The sequence below is a fragment of the Homo sapiens genome, chromosome 8 (assembly GCF_000001405.40).
Source record: "Homo sapiens chromosome 8, GRCh38.p14 Primary Assembly".
NCBI classification, from domain to species: Eukaryota; Metazoa; Chordata; class Mammalia; order Primates; family Hominidae; genus Homo; species Homo sapiens.
In genome coordinates this window covers 37349375-37367950 of record NC_000008.11, presented here as the reverse complement: position 1 = coordinate 37367950, position 18576 = coordinate 37349375, and the positions used below count along the sequence as shown (strand labels likewise).

Below are 18576 nucleotides of genomic sequence, written 5' to 3'. Positions count from 1 at the left end.
GGTAAAGTGTTGACAATTTAGAGAGTTACTGAACACATTACGTTACATTGGTTTCATTTCAGTGATTGAACTTACTGTATTTCTATTATGATTTTGTGTGGGAAATTATAGACTGATTTTGATCACATTTGGTATCAGGCTTTACATAGTAGCCAACAGTAGTAACTGCTAATGTTTGTTGAGCCTTTACTATGTTCCAGGCACTCTTTTTTTTTTTCTTTTTGAGACAGGGTCTTGATCTGTCACCCAGGCTGGAGTGAACATGGCTCACTGTATTTTTTATCCCCGGGGCTCAAGCAGTCCAATCCTCTTGCCTCAGCCTCCAAACAGGCACTCTTAAACACTTTACATATATATTAACTTATTTACTTGAGACAGTGGATCTATATGGTGCTTAAGCATGATTCATAGTTGATACTACTATCTTGCATGGCTGAAAATAGAAATTTTGTAATATTCTATAAACATGTGGACAGTAGTGCCATTGGGAAATTGGGTAGAACATCTAGAACTATTGTGATTTAACAAGATTATTTCTCTAATCTACACAACCATGAATTCAGTTTGATGATTTCAGAAAAAGATGACATTTGGACTCATAAACATTATAACTTGTGGAAAATGGTGTCCAATTTCTCCACCATGATGTCAGAGCCTTGGTGGGAGCCTCAGCGAGAGAGCAGGGGAGAGAAGTTTCTACCTTTTGTCTCAACCGGGTTCTACATGCCTGATACTTGGGAGCTGCAGCGACCCTTGTGGGTTTATCTGGCCTCCAGGATGAAGGTGGATCTATGTGTCTGAAGGGTGAGGGCAATGATGAGTTACTAGACATTTACTTCACTGAGCTCCTGGGAGAGACGTTTATTCTCCCCCTTGCTGTTATATATGGGTAATGATTCTTGCTGTTCAGTCAAAACATGGAGGTTGAAGGATTCATAGATTCAAGGAGGCTTTGACACCTCACTTTCTGTTATTGTACCAAGTTAGTTTTTGGAGATGATGAGAAAAAAGGAAGTTGCCTTAGTGCTCCACACATAACAGGACCTTAATATGTGTTTGTTGAGTGAATCAGCAGTTTTCTCTCTTGCCTGCCCTGGCACTGTGATAGCAATTTGCTATCTTATTATGTTAGGTTCACACCCTATTAGTATTTATTTTAGTTAATATAATGCAATTAGAGTGTAATCATATCAGTAGCTCTCAGATCATGTCAAAAAAATAAAAGTTATTGAAATACCAGTGCTAATATAAAGTGATAGAAAATAGTTAATGTGATGAAATACCTGGATTGAGTTATACATAAAAAGACAGTTGGGGAGGAGGAGGAGTGGGAGGATCAGATCATTGGCTTCTTCTGAGACTCTTGTTTAAGTGCTCATGAGCTCGGGAGTGCTTTGTCTCTGCATTCTCTCCCTATTGGGCTGTGATCCTATTTCTTGAGAAAAATTTCCTCATTTGGATCTGTCCAAAAAGGTTGTCTTGAGGTTGATAAAGGAAAAATGGAGACCAAGATGTACTTCCAGCTCTTCTCTAAGTGGCTGTGTGACATAGCCAAGCCTCCTAATCTCTCTGGGCCCTTAGTTTTCACCTGTACAATAAAGAGACCTGGATAATTAAAAAGACCCCTGGCTTTATCATTGTATTTAATGATTAAAGCATATAATCTGGCCCCGGTTGTTTTCTTTCTGCCTGAAACAAACCCCAAAGCAGCCAGTGGCTGCAGACAGACTACCAGTACTTCAGCACTGTGCAAATTAGTGGGTACCATTCAGTGCCTGCTGCCCCATCTGACCAAGTCTCCTAGGTCCTGGTGTAGACTCTGCTCCAGAGTGTCTTAAACCATTATGAGGCCTCGGTTGGTCATGCTTCCCACTTTTCATTGTTTGTTTGTTTGTTTTTGAGATGGTGTCTCACTCTGTCACCCAGGCTGGAGTGCAGTGGCACGATGACGGCTCACTGCAATCTCCACCTCTTAGGTTCAAGTGATTTTTGTGCCTCAGCCTCCTGAGTAGCTGGAATTACAGGTGTGCACCACCATGGCCCGGCCAATTTTTGTATTTTCAGTAGAGATGGGGTTTCGCCATGTTGGCCAGGGTGGTCTCGAACTCCTGGCCTCTAGTGACCCACCCGTCTTGGCCTCTCAAAGTGCTGGGGTTACAGGCATGAGCCACGATGCCCGGCTGCTTCCCATTTTTTGGTCCTTTCTCCAGCCTCTTGGCTGGCCCTACTTTCCCCTACCTGTCAAGGGAATGGGTGGAGGGCTTGGACAGGTAGAAAATTCTGGAAATGAAGTCACGTGAAGAGGAAGGAGTCGTCTCCATGAAAAGCCAGATACTGTTTCCCGGTGGTGCTGTTGCTTGGGAGGCCAGAAGCCATCATGGTGGCTGCTCTGTTTCTGATCCCTTCACAGAAGGGCACAGCTCCTGCTCTAGGCCCTGGTCCAACAGTTTGATTCTTTGGTGCCTCTGAAGCATTGCCATAAGAAGCTCATTGTTTGGGATTTGTTAGGTACAGTGCTGGTGGTGCAACCCTGAGGAAATAATTAACAATTATTTCTGAGGAGAAGCTTCCAGCCAGAGCCGCACCTTGTGGTGGCACATACGTCTCCCAAAGAATTGTTATTTAAGCAATAATCCTTGAGAAATTGGTCGTTACCCACATTAAACGACTCAGCCCATTGCCAAGGATGGTTAACGCTCTAATAAACTGGCCATTAACTGCAGTAACAATGAATTTCGAGGGGATTATTGCTATTATAAACCTTAATCAATGGTTTATAACAGCAATAATGTGGTCCTTTCTCTTAATGGTAAGTAGGGCAGCTTGCACCATCGCCTTGAAAATGTTTTTGTGGTGGCGGCGAAGTCCGAGGGGAGGCATGGGAAGTGCTGCCCACTCTTCAGGAATGGACCATGGAAGGCAAGGGACACAGCTGAAGCTCATGGCTGCCCTGGTCTGCTCTCCAGGGATCAGGTGTGGAACAAGGAGCTGGGGATTCTCCTCCAACCCACATGTCCTCTGCCATTACAGACCGGTGAGGCACTGGGCTTTGGGACTCCTGGGCTTGCTTGTCCAGCACAAGATCTGGATTGAGGATGTGACTCTGTGTGGGCCTCCTTATGAGCAATAAGAAATAAGAAATGGCCACCTGCTTCGTGGAGTGGATGTAGTGGGGTTGCAGAATGAACACTGGCCTTGGTGTTGCTCCAGGATCCATTCTGTCCCTGCCTTGTTACGAGATTCCAGATAAGTCACATCGCCTTTCTGATTCTCTGAAAAGTGGAGTGTGGAATAAATAACTTCCCAAGTTCCTTTCTAATATAACACTCCATGGTTCCTTTAATAATATTGACATGTTATGTTAGTATACCATTATAGAGCAATAATAATAATCACTTACATAATGTCTTGTATTGTTCTTAGTTGTTTGCATATATTAATTCAATGAATCCTTGCAACAACCCTACTTTTGTTGTGGAGGACCCTGAGGCAAGAGAGATGGAGAAGCTTGTCTGAACCACAGAGCTAATCTGAAGTGGAGATGGGATTTAGATACAGATACTCTACTATCGCTCTAGGAATCCACCTTCATTATTTAATTTGATCCTTGCATCTTTTGACATAGGCAAACTGGGGCTATCACTTTAGGTTCACAAATGAAGAAACCAGGGCTTCAAGAGATGAAGAGACCTGATCAAGTAAATAGCATGGATCTGAGTACTGCCTGGGCAGAACCTCCGCTTCTGGCTGTGTTGGTGCCAGGAAGCTTCCAGACTCAGGAGCCTCTCTCTCCAATGATGTGGACTGGCTGTATCCTGAGGCCAGTCCCTCCTTGCTGAGACTTTCTCCCCCAGCAAAGGGAAAGGAAAAAGTTCACATCCTCCTACATATTACTGGAAACACGCTCCCTGGAGCTAGGAAGGCTGATCTTTAGTTCCAGCCTGGCATTGCTTAGAATGCACGAGAGAATGAACACTGTGGTGGATTTTGGGGGCCAGGGCATTTAGGTATTTAATTTTAATTTTTGTTACTATGGAAAATTTAAAGCATATACAGAAAAGGGATAGCATAATGAACCCCCAAATACCTATCACCAGCTTTAGCAGAATCCACTCATGTCCTAGCTTGTTTCATCCAACCATTGCCCCCCTATTCTTCTCACCTTGGATTATTTTGGAGTAAACCATAGTTATCATACCATTTCATCTGTTATCACTTTAGTAGACATTGCTAAAAGTAAAAAAGAAAAAAATTGCAATACTGCTATCAGACCTTAAAAAATTAACAATAATTCCTTCATATTATCTAATATCTAGTCATATTTTGAATTTCCCAGCTTAATCATGAAAATATTTAGATCTTCTTCTTGCTCCGGCTATCCACGTGCTCTGTGACCTAAGACAAATCACTTTTTGGGTTTGTTCCCATTTGCTCATCTATAGAATGAGATGTGCAGCCAATGCCACTTCTCTTTCATCACTGGCAGGTGGAAGGCCTTTGAATGACAGCACTTCTTAATAAGCCACACTGTCATGCCCAGGCATCATCCATACACCACTGGGAGGAAACTTTGAGAGGCTACCACCATAGCATGCACTTTGGAGTTTGACTTTCTTTTTGTGCTGCACACTCCAGAGAGCAGATTTGCTCTGGGAAATAGAGGAAAAGAAAGAGCAATTCTTCACATGGGCCCTGCCTCCCTGGAGAGGTGCACTTGGTGACTTTTCTCAGGAAGGGGAGCAGAGAGGATGCTGGCTGCATTTCTGCCATCAGTGATGTGCTGCTGCCTGTCCAGCTCTGGCCTTGGGGAGAATCTGGCCATATCAAGTGAGAAAGCTCTGTTCTCCTCTTAGCCTTGGTTGTGTGGGTGGATGATAAACCCAGTTCTGCCTGCTCCAGTGGGTGTGCATTTCCTCAGGTGCAAAGTGAGAGGGCTGGGCTGGGTATTCCCTGAAAGGGTGCATAAGAAACACCTGAGGGTTTTTTCAAACTTTATATTTTCTTTTTTAAATTTCAACTTTATTTTATTTATTTTATTTGATTTTTTACTTTAAGTTCTAGGATATATGCACTGAACTTGCAAGTTTGTTACATAGGTATGTATGTGCTATGGTGGTTTGCTGTACCTATCAACCCATCATCTGGACTTTAAGCACTGCATGCATTAGGTATTTGTCCTAATGCTTTCCCTCCCCTTTCCCCTCACCCCTCGACAGGCCCTACTGTGTGTTGTTCCCCTCCCTGTGTCCATGTGTTCTCATTGTTCAACTCCCATTTATGAGTGAGAACATGCAGTGTTTGGTTTCCTGTTCCTAGGTTAGTTTGCTGAGGATGATGGTTTCCAGCTTCATCCATGTCCCTGCAAAGGACATGAACTCATTCTTTTCCATTCTTATTTTAAATACAGAGGATATATATGCAGATGTGTTACATGGGAATATTGTGTGATGCTGAGGTTGAGAGTACAGATTCTGTCACCCAGGTAGTAAGCACAGGACCCGAGAGGTAGTTTTTAAACTCACCCTCCCACCCTCTGGCATTCCCCAGTGTCTATTGTTCCCACCTTGATGTCCATGTATGCTCAGTGTTCAGCTCCCACTTACAAGTGAAAAAGTATGATATTTGGTTTTCTGTTCCTGTGTTAATTTGCTTAAGATTATGGCCTCCAGCTCCATCCATGTTGCTACAAAGGACATGATTTCATTCTTTTTATGGCTGCATAGTATTCCAGGTGTATATGTATCACATTTTCTTTATCCAATCTACCATTGATAGGCACCCGGGTTGATTCCATGTTTTTGCTATTGTGAATAGCTCAGCAATAAACACATGAGTGCATGTGTCTTTTTGGTTGAATGACCTATTTTCTTTTGAGTATATACCCAGTAATGGAATTGCTGGGTCAAATGATAGCTTTGTTTTACATTCTTTGAAAAATCTCTGGACTTCTTTCCACAGTGGCTGGACAGATTTACATTCTCACCAGCAATGTATAAGCATTCTCTTTTCTCCACAGCCTCACCAACATCTGTTATTTTCTGACTTTTTAGTAATAGCCCTTATGACTGATGTGAGATGGTGTCTCATTTTGGTTTTGATTTGCATTTCTCTGATGATTAGTGATGATGAGCATTTTTTTCATATGTTTCTTGGCCACTTGTATTATATTATTTTCTTCTGGAATTTATATATTTGGGAATCAAACCTCTTCCCCTGCATTTTTTTCCCCCACCACATTGAGAGTTTTAGGGCTAAAGGATGTCCAAGTTCTCTTGATGCGCTGATGACCCGTGAGCACATGACTTTGCTTAAGCTACCAAAGCATTTCCTGCCCTGCAGGACTAAGAGGGACATGCCTGCTTGGAGAGTTTCAGCCCTGATTTCCTGGAGTGGGGAGTTGCCCAAAATGGCTTTTGGTGTGACTTCCTCTTTCAGATTTCTTCTGGAGCTGCAGGCTCTTTTCTGCAAGATGTGTCTAACCACAGTGACATGTGCCTTGTGAGTAGTGTGAGGGGATTATTCATCAACATGATGGACCAATGTATTGAAATAGGGATGATTTAGCAGTGGGAAAATCCACCAAATGCCATCTTGCCTTCTCTCTTCTGGACTCCTAATTGGGCTGTGGGCTGGGAAAATTGACCCAGTATTCTCGTGAATCTCTCACCCGCCCTGTAGCCTGTCTCCCCAAGGGTCTGATGCATCTGGGGTGTTGCTGCAGGTGGCTCTGTTGGGTGCTTCAGTCTCAGAGCCCAGTTGCCAGTGGATGGGGATCTTTAGAGGGTCTGCAGGTTCAAAAAAGTCCTTTCTTCTCACAGGTGGGCAACTTTATGGGGCTTATTTAAGGTGCATGTCTGGACCCCCATTCCTGGCTAACTCTCCCTTCCCCAGCCCCTGAGCTGTGTCTGCTGGGGTCAGTCCTGCCAGGAAGATTCCCCAGGCTTTTCCCAGGCCTCCTGTCACTCCTCTGTCCCCAACCTGGGTGGAGAAGAGTCGGTTAGGCCAGAGGCAGAAGGTGGGGGCATAAAAAGACTGATCTGGAATAAACTGAAAAGTTTACTCTGTGCAGCACTGAAATAAAAAAGCTCATTCAGAAAGTTAATGATTTATTTTATAGTTTCATTATCAGGGTCACATTACTCAATAGCATTTCAAACATGTCATTTGTACAAACTATGGTAATTAAAATTTATAACATACTTCATCAGCAGCATATGAATCTTTTAGCCGGCACTCTGCTGTCATATAAACAGTGTAATTTCAGCTGCAATTCACCCTTTATTGGCTCTCATTTGTGATTTAACAGCCATCAATGACTGTGCTATAAAGAATAAATTAACCATCCGTAAACCTTACGATGACAGGGACAGTCAAATAGACTTAAACGCCTTCCGCCCAGCGCTGGGAGCCGACCTAGAGCAGGTGAAGGCCACGTATGCATCAGGCCCACTGCTGAAAGGACTTTCCTCTCTCCTGCTGCTGCCTCTCAGTGGGATGGCTCCCGGCTGGACCCGAGGTCCCTCTAGCTGCCACTAGCAGGAGCATCAGCTTTTCTGCTCTTTGGTTAGGGAGGCAAAGGGAGATGGGCCCCTTTGCAGACCCATTTAAGATGTCTGTGCCCAAGGTGGGACCTTAGATATTATCTCCCAGTAACTGTCAAGTGAGGGCACTTGGGAACATGTTGGGGGCACTTTTGGATGATCCAATGACTGGGTAGAACTATTGACCTGTGGTGCTTGGGACCAGAGATGCTGGCCGTCTTGCAGTGAACAGGGTTTTTCCTCTCCAAACGCTTCTAGTGCCCCATTGAGAAATACTGGCAACCTGATCTTCTCATCCTGCAATGAGAAACTGAGGTCCAGAGAGGGGAAGGGCCTCGATGAGGGCCATGCTGGCTCTTAGGGCAGAACCGGAATGAGAACCCGGGACAAGCAGTCGGAAAGTGCCAACTCCTAGGGCAGGCAGTCCTGGCTGCCTCTCTGGGAGTGACAGCATGGCTTGGGAGCACTGCTTCTCTGAGACCACACTCGTAGGCGCCCTCTCGGAGAGGGTGGTCAGGGTGGTCTGGCTTGGCCCCATAGCTGACACGGTACACAGCTCATAAATGAAGTGGATTGGATTTGTTACAGAGACATCTCCAAGGAGCCTGGGTCATGCAGGCCAATAAAATTGGCCTCATAAATTCATCGTGACATGCAGGATTACTCCAGCCCGCTGAGGTCACCTTCCTGGCCTGATTTATCACAAGCCTATGGGTTAATAATACTGTTTACTGAGTGTTGCTTTCTTGTTCCTCCACTTCCCCTCCCCTTCTTGGAGCAGACACTGATCAAAGCCTCCCTCTGGAAGGGTGTGGTGGATGGAGGAGAAGAAGGGGGAGGAATATGAGGGTTGGGTATTTAATTCTGTGCTGCTTTAAATCAATGCTTTATTTCCTCCCCTTTTTTTCTTTCTTTCTTTCTTTTTCTTTTTTTTTCTGAGAAGGTACCTGCAGTTATCTCAGTTCAGTTCCCTGCTAGGAGTTTTAGTGAAGAATGGTGGTTTGTGGTTGGAGGGTAGCTGTCTCATCATCATTTGGGAGCTGGTGACACTAGGTAAGAGGTGACTTTTCTATTGCTTTTATGGCTAAGCTGTGAGCTATTCACATTCTTTTGACCATGCTTATCAGTCTCTGCTTAGAAATCTTATACAACTTCCTGTTTGTATGGAAAATATAGGGCTTTCTCTTTTAAAGACCAGAGGTTATAGATGGTGACAATATGGAAAAAGCCTCACACAGATTTTAAAGTCCCCGCTAAACCTGGATTCTCTGAATCTACTTTTTACCACTTAGAAGCTTGCAAGTGTTACATTCTGGTCTAGCTTGCTAGGGTTTGAAAGATCCCGCCTCCGCCCCCAAAAAATTAAAATTAAATTGGGGTTACTCTTAGACTATTTCCCTTTAACCAAAAAACAGGCTGGACAGTGAAGCCGGCTCTGGGTGTCTTCTCATTTCCTGTAGCAGCACTTTGTGGTTAAACTTCCAGAGAGGCTTTTTTAGTAATGTATGTTCAAGATCAAGTACTCAATCATTATACAATAAATAAACAGATGAAATTGGAGGCCCTAAAGCATCAGAACTTCTGGGTTTTCCATGTGGGAATTGCAGCCAGCCCCTTTCAGTAAGATCGCTGCAAGGATGACTTTAATTTGGACTAAATGCCCCCAGGAACTTGGAAGCCTGTGTGAACTCAGGATCAGGGCTCTGGTTGGAACATACCATCTTTAATTAAATTGGCAAACAATTCCTGAGCAGTTTCTCAAGTAATTGCTGGAGTTCCAAAGCACCAGGAATTAGACAGTCCCTGCCTTCAGGGTACTTAGAGTTTATTGAAGAATTAGAATGAATGACTATTCAGCTGATTTGGGCATGACAATAGAGGTACAAAGAACTGTAGTAAACTAAAGGGGGGAGATAGTGGAATTAGGGCAAATCCTGGAAGTGGTTTGAGGGCTGGACATTCACTTACTCAATCATCAAACACTTCAGAAGCCCTGTCTCTTACCAGGCACTGGGTCCAGCTTATTTGAAAACTTTTCTTGACTGTTGTTTTGGGGCCAATTTCAGTGCAAGTCATAACCCTTTTCTATGCAAGTGACCTTTCTCTGCTCCCTCTCTCCAATCTCTTCCCCCGCCCTGGGCTCTCATCCAGACTTGCTGATGTGCCCTGAGAGAGCATTAAGAAGACAAATTTGCATTTAGAGAACCTGGGCCTGCTTCCATCATTTGAAGGCTGAGGAGGCTTGAGGCGCGCATCCATACAGCTGTGGAAGAGATGCTGCTGTCATTGGCCAAAACCAGCCCCGGAGACAGCATGATCCTGTCTTGCTACAGTGAGAAAACCCCCTTGTTTGCTTCCCATGATCCCTGGCTGCTGCGTGGTGATAGGGCTTTGGGTAGCTGTCTTAGGAGACTCTGCCAGGCAGAGGAGGGAAGTAGGAGAAGAAATGGGAAGGTTGGGGCTCCACCTTGTTGAGAGTGGCCAGGACAGGTGGTGATTTTGGTGGCACCAGAGAATAGAGATCTCATAAACTCCAGTTGCTGCCAATCTTCTACGTAGCTCTTACAGTAAGGCTACCCCAGGTAGGGAAGAGGATACACTGGATACCAGGTGATGCAGCAAATGCATTCACATTTGCTACGTCATATCCTGCTCTCAGTACCCCTGAAAGGTAGGCATTTTAATCTCCACTTTAACCCACAGGGAAGAGATCCACTTAGAGGAGCTAAGCAGTGGGGTGACCATCACATATCTAGTAAATGGTTTGGACCAAGGCCTGCCTGGCCCTAAAGCCCATGCTTTTCAAAATCATATCAGGCAGCCTCTCAATTTCTCTGAGGAAGCTGGCACTATGACAGTAAGAGGCTTGGCCAGTGGCAGAGCTGGTCTTGAATCTGGGTCTTTTCCCATGTCACTCAGCTGAGTCCCACTTGACCCACAGGAAGTCCATTACAAATAAGTACTTGCCCTTCCCAAAACATCTACTGTTTCTGGTGAATAAAAAGCTCTGGGGAGGTCGGGCACGGTGGCTCACGCCTGTAATCCCAGCACATTGGGAGGCCGAGGCAGGCGGATCACGAGGTCAGGAGATCGAGACCATCCTGGCTAACATGGTGAAACCCTGTCTGTACTAAAAATACAAAAAATTAGCCGGGCGTGGTGGCGGGCACCTGTAGTCCCAGCTACTCAGGAGGTTGAGGCAGGAGAATGGCATGAACCTGGGAGGCGGAGCTTGCAGTGAGCCGAGATCGCGCCACTGTACTCCAGCCTGGGCGACAGAGCAAGACTGGGTCTCAAAAATAAACAAATAAAAAACAAAAACAAACAACAACAACAACAACAAAAAAAGCTCTGGGGAACTTGGGGACAAGTACTGTCACTGTGGAGATCTCTCTGTCTCTCAGACTCATCTCTCTCTCTCTCCCTCCATCCATCCATCCATCCATCCATGCATGCATACATATATCATCCATTCATCTGATATAGGAGTTAAGAAATCCCTTAGGCAGATAGTGAAGGTATGGGAGTGCTCAGTAAGGTTTTTTCTTTTTAATGGGGAGCAGCCACAAATCATTTTCTAACAAAAGCAGCATGTAAAGTCAAGCTGCAGACATAGACAAGAAAGCTGGGGGCTTGTACGGGTGAATTCAGGCAGGAACTAGGGCCTAGACATGTTCAAGATGGTGGCTCCATCTTCCCTTCTCTGCCAGCCACGTGTACAGTAAGGAGCAGACAAGATGGCATTGGCCAAGGGGAGAGTTCGTTTGCATAATAAGATTAGGGTGGAGGGACCAGCCTTCTCTGTGTGCTATGTAAACATCACACCTGATCAAACCAATCTGTGAGCCCTACGTAAATCAGACACTACCTCCTCAAGCCAGACTACAAAATCCGGCACATCAGCCACCAGCCCATCTTTTCTGCTTGGAAGACCCCTCTCTCTCTATAGAGAGAGCTGTTTTTCTTTCTCTTTCCTTCTGCCTATTAAACCTCTGCTCCTAAACTCCTCATGTGTGTCTGTGTCCTAAATTTTCCTGGCACCAGATGATGAACCCTGGGTATATACCCCAGAAAACATAGCCACTTCACATCCATGCCAACATGCATGCATGCATCCATGCATCCATCCATCCATAATGCATGCCCACATGCATCCATCTAGCCATCCATAATCATGCATACATGCATCCATAATAATGCATGTCTACATGCATCCAGCATCCATCCATCCATCCATAATGCACGCCTACATGCATCCATCTATTCATCTATCCATCCATCCATCTATAATGCATACATACATACATGCATCCATCCATCCATAATGCATGCATACATGCATCCATCCATCAATCTGTAATGCATGCATACATGCATCCACCCATCCATCCATCTATCCATCCATCCATCTATAATACATACATGCATTCACCCATCCATAATGCACACATACATGCACCCATCCATGCACCCATCATCCATCCATAATGCATGCATATGTGCATCCATCCATCCATCTATAATGCATACATACATGCATTCTTCCATCCTTCTGTCCATCCATCCATCCATCCATCCATCCATCCATCCATCCATCCATGTGTCTATCTACCTTTGGATTGGACACACAAAGCTGATGACGTGAAACTGCTTCAGTGCCTCATCGGCACCGTTCTCCCCCAAAACTTTGTCAAGATGGCTGCTGTTGGCTGTGTATTTTCACGGCTGGGCCTTTATACCTGTTGGTGCCACCAGCTGAGTTCCTTTCTTCCTGCGTTTGCCTGAACAGTGCCAATTGTTCTCCTGTATCTGTTGCAATCTGTGTCAGAAAGGGCGGGGTTGGGGGGAAGGGTTTTCTATGAAACAAAACAAAACAAAAAACAAGTTGCAGGGAAACTGCTCAGTTAGGCCTAGCATCAGGGAAGGCTCCCTGGGTGGGAAAGATTATCCTCCACAGGTGAGTTGGTAGACACCATTCGCTGTGTTGAACTCAATGGGGAGGTAAAATTTGATGGCCAGCAAGCCGGGTGTCACAGGTAGTGTGCTCTCCCCATAGACACCTGCGCATCAGATGTCAGAACTCTTCTGTGCTCTTTGGAACTTGCTCCTTGCAGTGGTGAATAACTTTTTAAGGTGACAGTACAGAGTCGCACACTGAGATGGGGAGGAGCTACACGTCTTGGTTCCAGACCTAGCTCTGCCTCTTGTTGCTATCTGTGTGACCTTGAGTGAGTCCCTCCCATGTTTTTATCCCTCCATTTTTCCATCTGTCAATAGAGGGGCACCTTTAATGACTGAAACAGGACTCTGAAAACAAAGTAGTATCCTGAAATGGAAGGAAGGCATTGTTAGTGTTGGAGATGGGGAGTCCCATCACTTGCACTCTGGTGCTGAGACACACAGTCATGCATCACGTGTTTGTGCTTATTAAAATGTGCTGCATCATGTCTTCTCCTCTTTCTTCCCAAATTTGTATGTTGAAGTCCTATCTCCTGGTACCTCAGCACGTGACTGTATTTGGAGTTAGGGTCTTAAAGAGATGATGAAGTCAAAATGAGGCTATTTTGGTGGGCCCTCACTCAATATGACTGATGTCCTTAAAAGAATAATAGATAAAGACACAGATGGGTACAGAGGGAAGGAAGATGTGAAGACACAGGGGGAATATGGCCTCTACAAGCCACAAAGAGATGCCTCAGAAGAAACCAATCCTGTCGACACCTTGATCTTTGACTTCCAGCCTCCAGAATTGTGAGACAATACATCTGTGTTGTTTAAGCCAGCTTGTCTGTGGTACTTTATTACAGCAGCCTGAGAAAACTAATATACAAGGCTAAATTACTTAATACTCATCTTGTTTAGAGGCACTGTGGGGAATTTCATAGCAACCTTGAGAGGATAGGGCTTACTGAAGGGACCATCCAACCTGGGGTGTGGTCACAGTCTAGGCTTGAGGCTTGCATGTTATTGTCTGGGAATTGATTGAGGACGAGTGCATGGGTTTCACCTATAGTTTTCTAGATACCATGAGAGGATGCTCATTTATGCTGCCTTATTTAATCCTCCCATTAACCCGGTGAAGTAGGGATTATACTTTCCATTTATTGATGAGGAAGCAGAGGCCCAGGGGGTTAAGCGACTTGACCCGGGCCACACTGCTAATTTCAGCAGAGCCAGCAGTTCTGGCAGTTGATTTGCTTAAATGTTTTTGCTTGCAACCAGCCCAGTAAACATAGTTTGAGGCTTGAACCCAGCTGCAAAGGTGACCTGCTGGAAGAGCGATTTGAAATAAATAAAGGTGAGGAACAAGGAAGAATTTCAAAGCCTTTCCCTAATCAGGACAAACGGCTACGAGCCTGAGGTTTGCAGAGATAGCCTGCCACATCTCGGAAGGCAGCTCTTGCCACAAGCCAGTGCCTCGCTGGCTTGGAAATTTATGGTGGAATTTAGACAGAGAACACAAATCATCGTAATCTCCTGATGAAAGATCACTGTCTCTGCAAATGCATTACCTGCTTGGAAAGCGACATGTTAAAAAATACTGATAATATATGGGCACAGGGAGAGCGATTTCCATGCCTGGGCTCCTCCAAGCTAAAATATGCACACCTGCACAAGAGGCAGCAGATGACAGAGGAAGTCACCAGGGCCCTAGGAGCAGCTTCTGTGTCAAGCTGTGACTCCGATACTCCAAACAAAAGACAGTACAAGCCTGTCTAGGTGTCCTCTCTTCTCCCCAGTGTGGGGCATCTTGGATGAAGGAGGCCAGAGTTGGGGGCATCTGATCCTGTTCTTTTCCCTCCAGAATCAAATGCACTTAGGGTTTACACCAGGAGGGAGAGACAGGAGGAGGAATTAGAGTGATGGAGGGGGGACTTACTGCTGAGGGAAGCTCAAGGCATGAATTAGAGAAACTATTCATTTTCTTTTTTCCGTTTCACCTCCTCTGGACTTGTTCATCTCCCAGTTACCCCATTGGCAGCCTCTGCAGGCTTCTGTCACCATAAGGTCTTCTTGTCTTATTTATTTATTCCTGCCTGTTCTTGGGTAAGTCAATTTCACTGATTGACAGTAAGAGACAGCTAAAGATCAGACATAAAGAAAGCCCTAAGCATGTGGGCACATGGGGGCACAGACCTCTGTGACTTTGCCATGCTGGCTTCCCCCCTCTCTTTTTTCTCAGCTGCTCCCCAATATAATGAGGTTGGGGAGAGCGTGGGCTTGGAACCACACAGACCTGCTTCCTGTGATTATAACTCCAGCTCCAAAACTAATTGGCAGCATGACCTTGGGCAAGTTTCTTCTCTCTCTAAGCCCCAGCCTCGTTCCAGGCAGTGCCGCGCCTCCCTCTTCCAGCCCTGAGCCACTTTGCATTATGGCTCAAGGTTGCATCTTGGTCTTCTCTGCACGGCTCACGCTCCTACTGCAGTGTGCTTCCAGTGCCAAGGCTAGTTTTTCTACATGCCTCCTCTTGGGAGAAAAGCCATTCGGAGTCCAATGGGCCTGCAGAACAGGTGCATCCCTCTTGCTGTAATGATTACTGGATAAACAAAGCAAAAAGAACCCAAACCCAAGTACATTGTCCTAAAGGGGGAAATAATACTTCAGAATGGCCAGAATGTTTACCAACACAGTGAAAAAGGAAATAGCAAAGATACACTGAGGCTCACTCTTCCCTCTTGTGGCGGGGGAGTTAACCTCTGCTGACCCAGATGCAGCTCCTGGGGCCAGTTTTTGTCCTCCCGAGGGGGTGTCTGATGGAGAAGAATTCAAGAATATCTTCTCTGCCATTTTTCCTCCTTCTTGACAGATATGAAAAAGAACCAAAGAAACACTGCCGAGAGTCTGGCTTGGAAGCGTCTGTGTTTACAACCCTATTCAAGACTGATTTGAAGGCAAGGGGAGGATGGGTGTCAGGAGATGTCTTTGAGGGGTTTCTGAAAGTCCTGTTTGAAGGACCTGCCTAGAACTTGCAGGTGAGGGTCTGGACACAGGGCTGTCAGATGTATGTTTGGTGGAATAGTCAAGGCTTTCCAAATGTGCTGGGAAGGAACAATTCTGCCTCTAACGAAGCTGTGCAACAGGTGTGTAAGGTGCCTACCCCTCCTCCTCCTGGAGCCACATCCCATTCACCATCACTCTCCAAAAATGGGTTTTGGTGCCAGCAACCCCAAAAAGGCTGACAATACCAAGAGCTGCAGAGAATATGGAAGCACAGGATGCTTCCGTTATTCGTTCCCACTCCGTTGCTGGTGGAAGTGTAAACTGATGCAACTACTTTGACATTCGGCTGGGAATTTCTTCCTGAAGCTAAAATCTCATAAACCCTGGAATACATCCCAAGGAGTGTACCAAGTGGGCATGCAACACATCAATGGCCTTCTTGCCACGAGTTAATAAGATACAGAATCCTAGTATCCCTGTAAGCTGGTGACTGGGTGGGAGAGTCATTGTTACCCACCCTCTGGTGTGCCTTTCAGAACTGTTCCCTTTTTACCTTACTTCTTCCTCCCATGGAATGAAAAATGAATCAAACAGGCACATGGATGCTAAGTTCCTTCCTTGGGTCTGGTAATGCTTATAGAAAATAAGGAAGATGGAAAGAAGCAAGAAGAGAGGTGAATAAAGGCTGTTGAATGAAAGATGAAGGGGGAGACGGTAAGGGTTTGCATTTGGAGCAGTTGTGGGAAAACACACATGCAAATGTGGCATTTATTCATTCATCTAAACACATTTATTGAGGACCTATTACATGGCAGTCCCAATAGATAAACTGTAAGCAAAAATGGATGCAGCCTTGCCCTTGTGAAGTGTACATTAAAAAATTGCACACATATGTGTAAATATTAGAGCCATAGAAATGCTAAGAAGGAGTGCTACTTGGTCCTATGGGAGCACAAACTAGGACTTGATCACATCAAGGAAGTCAGAGAAGTCTTCCCTGAGGAAATGACCATAGAGGTGAGATGTGAGGCTGCACAGTTGTTTGCTAGATGAAGCAGAGAGGGAAGAGTGTCCCAGTCGGGTCAGGCAGCTATGCAAAGGCCTGGGGCTTGGGGACATATTCATAATAGACATAAATAACAACAGGTTAGAGTCAAGAGTATATTGAGAACTCTCACAAAATCAACTAGAAAAGTACAAACAACCTCATAAAAAGACACAAGACATTTCATAGGGAAGAAAGCATACTCAGTGAATAAACATATATAGATTTATTCAATGCAGTCAGTAATCAGGGAAGGGGAGATACCATCTGACACTATTTGGTTGGCAGTGATGAAAAGGTTAACAATACCAAGTATTGCAGAGAATATGGAAGCACAGGATCTCTTCTACGTAGCTGGTGAGAATATAAACTGATGGAACTACTTTGGCATTCAGCTGGGAATTTCTTCCTAAAGCCAAACTCTGAAATACCCTGGAATACATCCCAAGGAGTGTACCTAGGGGGCATGTACAAGAATGTTCATAGCAGCACAGTTTATAATAGAAAAAAGAAACCCAAGAAACCACATGATTGGTGATCTAAAGGAAAGTGGATTAAGAAAAACTATGATGTATCCACACAAGGAAATATTGTATTTCAGTCAAAATAGATGAACCACTGTGACATACAACTATATAATATATGGAACCTTAAAACTTTAAATTCTTAAAATCTTAATATATAATAAATTGAAAAGCAAGTCCCCAAATAATGCACACCATAAGGGTCTATTATTTTAGAATCATAAAAAACTTAAATTATTTTTAGGAATATATATATATATATAAAATATGTACAGGAATATATACATACATTATATATAAATACATACAATATACACATATATGTGTGTATATATACATATGCATGCAATAAAACCAAACAGTAAGACAAGAGAATGATGAACATAAAAGTCAAGATGATGGTTTCCTGGGTTAATAACCAGGAGGATGAGATGTGAAGAGACCACATGATTAGCTGCAGATTATTGACAAGACCCTTGCTTTTGTGTTGGTCATGGGCTTGTGAGTGCCTATTATGTTATTTAAAATTATTTGCCCAAATAAACACATGAACATAAATAAGCCAAGCCATCTATGGGCAACGATGGGTCTTTAAGTAAAGATTATGATTGGTATGATTCTGTTTCCCTGAGATTAGAAAAAAAGTCTTGCATTTGGAGAGGGGATTGTTTTTCCAGACTGAAAGAAAGCTGCATAGCTGGGATGCAGAGAGAGGTGGGGTGTTTGATGTGAGATGGGACTGCATGGGGAGGTGAGGTATAGGCCATGTAGGATCCCACAGGTCCTGTTAGGGAGTTTGGGCTGAAGTGGGGTGTGTGATCCCCACTTCATGTGACATGATCACATTTATATTTCAAAAGACTTGTTCTGGCTGCACTGTGGCTATTATATTGTTGGTGGTAAGAGAGCATGTGGGGAAGGGGGGTTGGGAGGTGATATCAACACTCTAGGTGAGAAGTGATAGCTTGGATGCCAGCCTCGGCAACATAGTGAAATTCCGTCTCTACAAAACTAACTAGATAAGAATTAGCTGGGTGTTGTGGCATGTGCCTATAGTCCCAGCTACTCAGGAGGCTGAGGTGGGAAGATCGCCTGTGCCCAGGAGGTCGAGGCTGTGATTGTGCCACTGCACTCCAGCCTGGGCAACAGAATGAGATCCTGTCCACACCCCACCAAAAAAAAAAAGATGAGATGATGAGAGAAATAGATGAATTAAAAGAGCAGTTAGGTAAAATTGTTATTATTGGGTCTAATACAATGAAGGAGAGGGATGAGCCAAGGAGGCTGCTTACATTTTATTTGGGAAGTAGATGGATAGTGGACTATTTGCTGAGAAGGGCTGGGAAGAAAGTGAGTTTGGTTTTGAACCCGTTGAGTTGGAGGTGATTTTGAGACATCCAGGTAGGCAGCTGGACATAGGGCTCTGTAACTTAGGTGGGATCTGAATTATCTGAGGATGCTCAAGGAAGTCTCCATTGTTGAAACTGTAGAAGTTGGTAAGATTGCCTAGAAAGAAACAGTG

At 44.6% G+C, this 18576-nt stretch overlaps 1 long non-coding RNA gene across 1 annotated transcript; it reads left to right on the top strand.

The window, feature by feature from the left end:
• Nucleotides 1-8427: 8427 nt before the first annotated feature.
• On the top strand, nt 8428-13319 carry LOC124901930 (uncharacterized). The gene is made up of 2 exons (XR_007060885.1): nt 8428-8594; nt 9693-13319. It is a non-coding gene; the product is annotated as an uncharacterized LOC124901930 (long non-coding RNA).
• Nucleotides 13320-18576: the final 5257 nt, after the last annotated feature.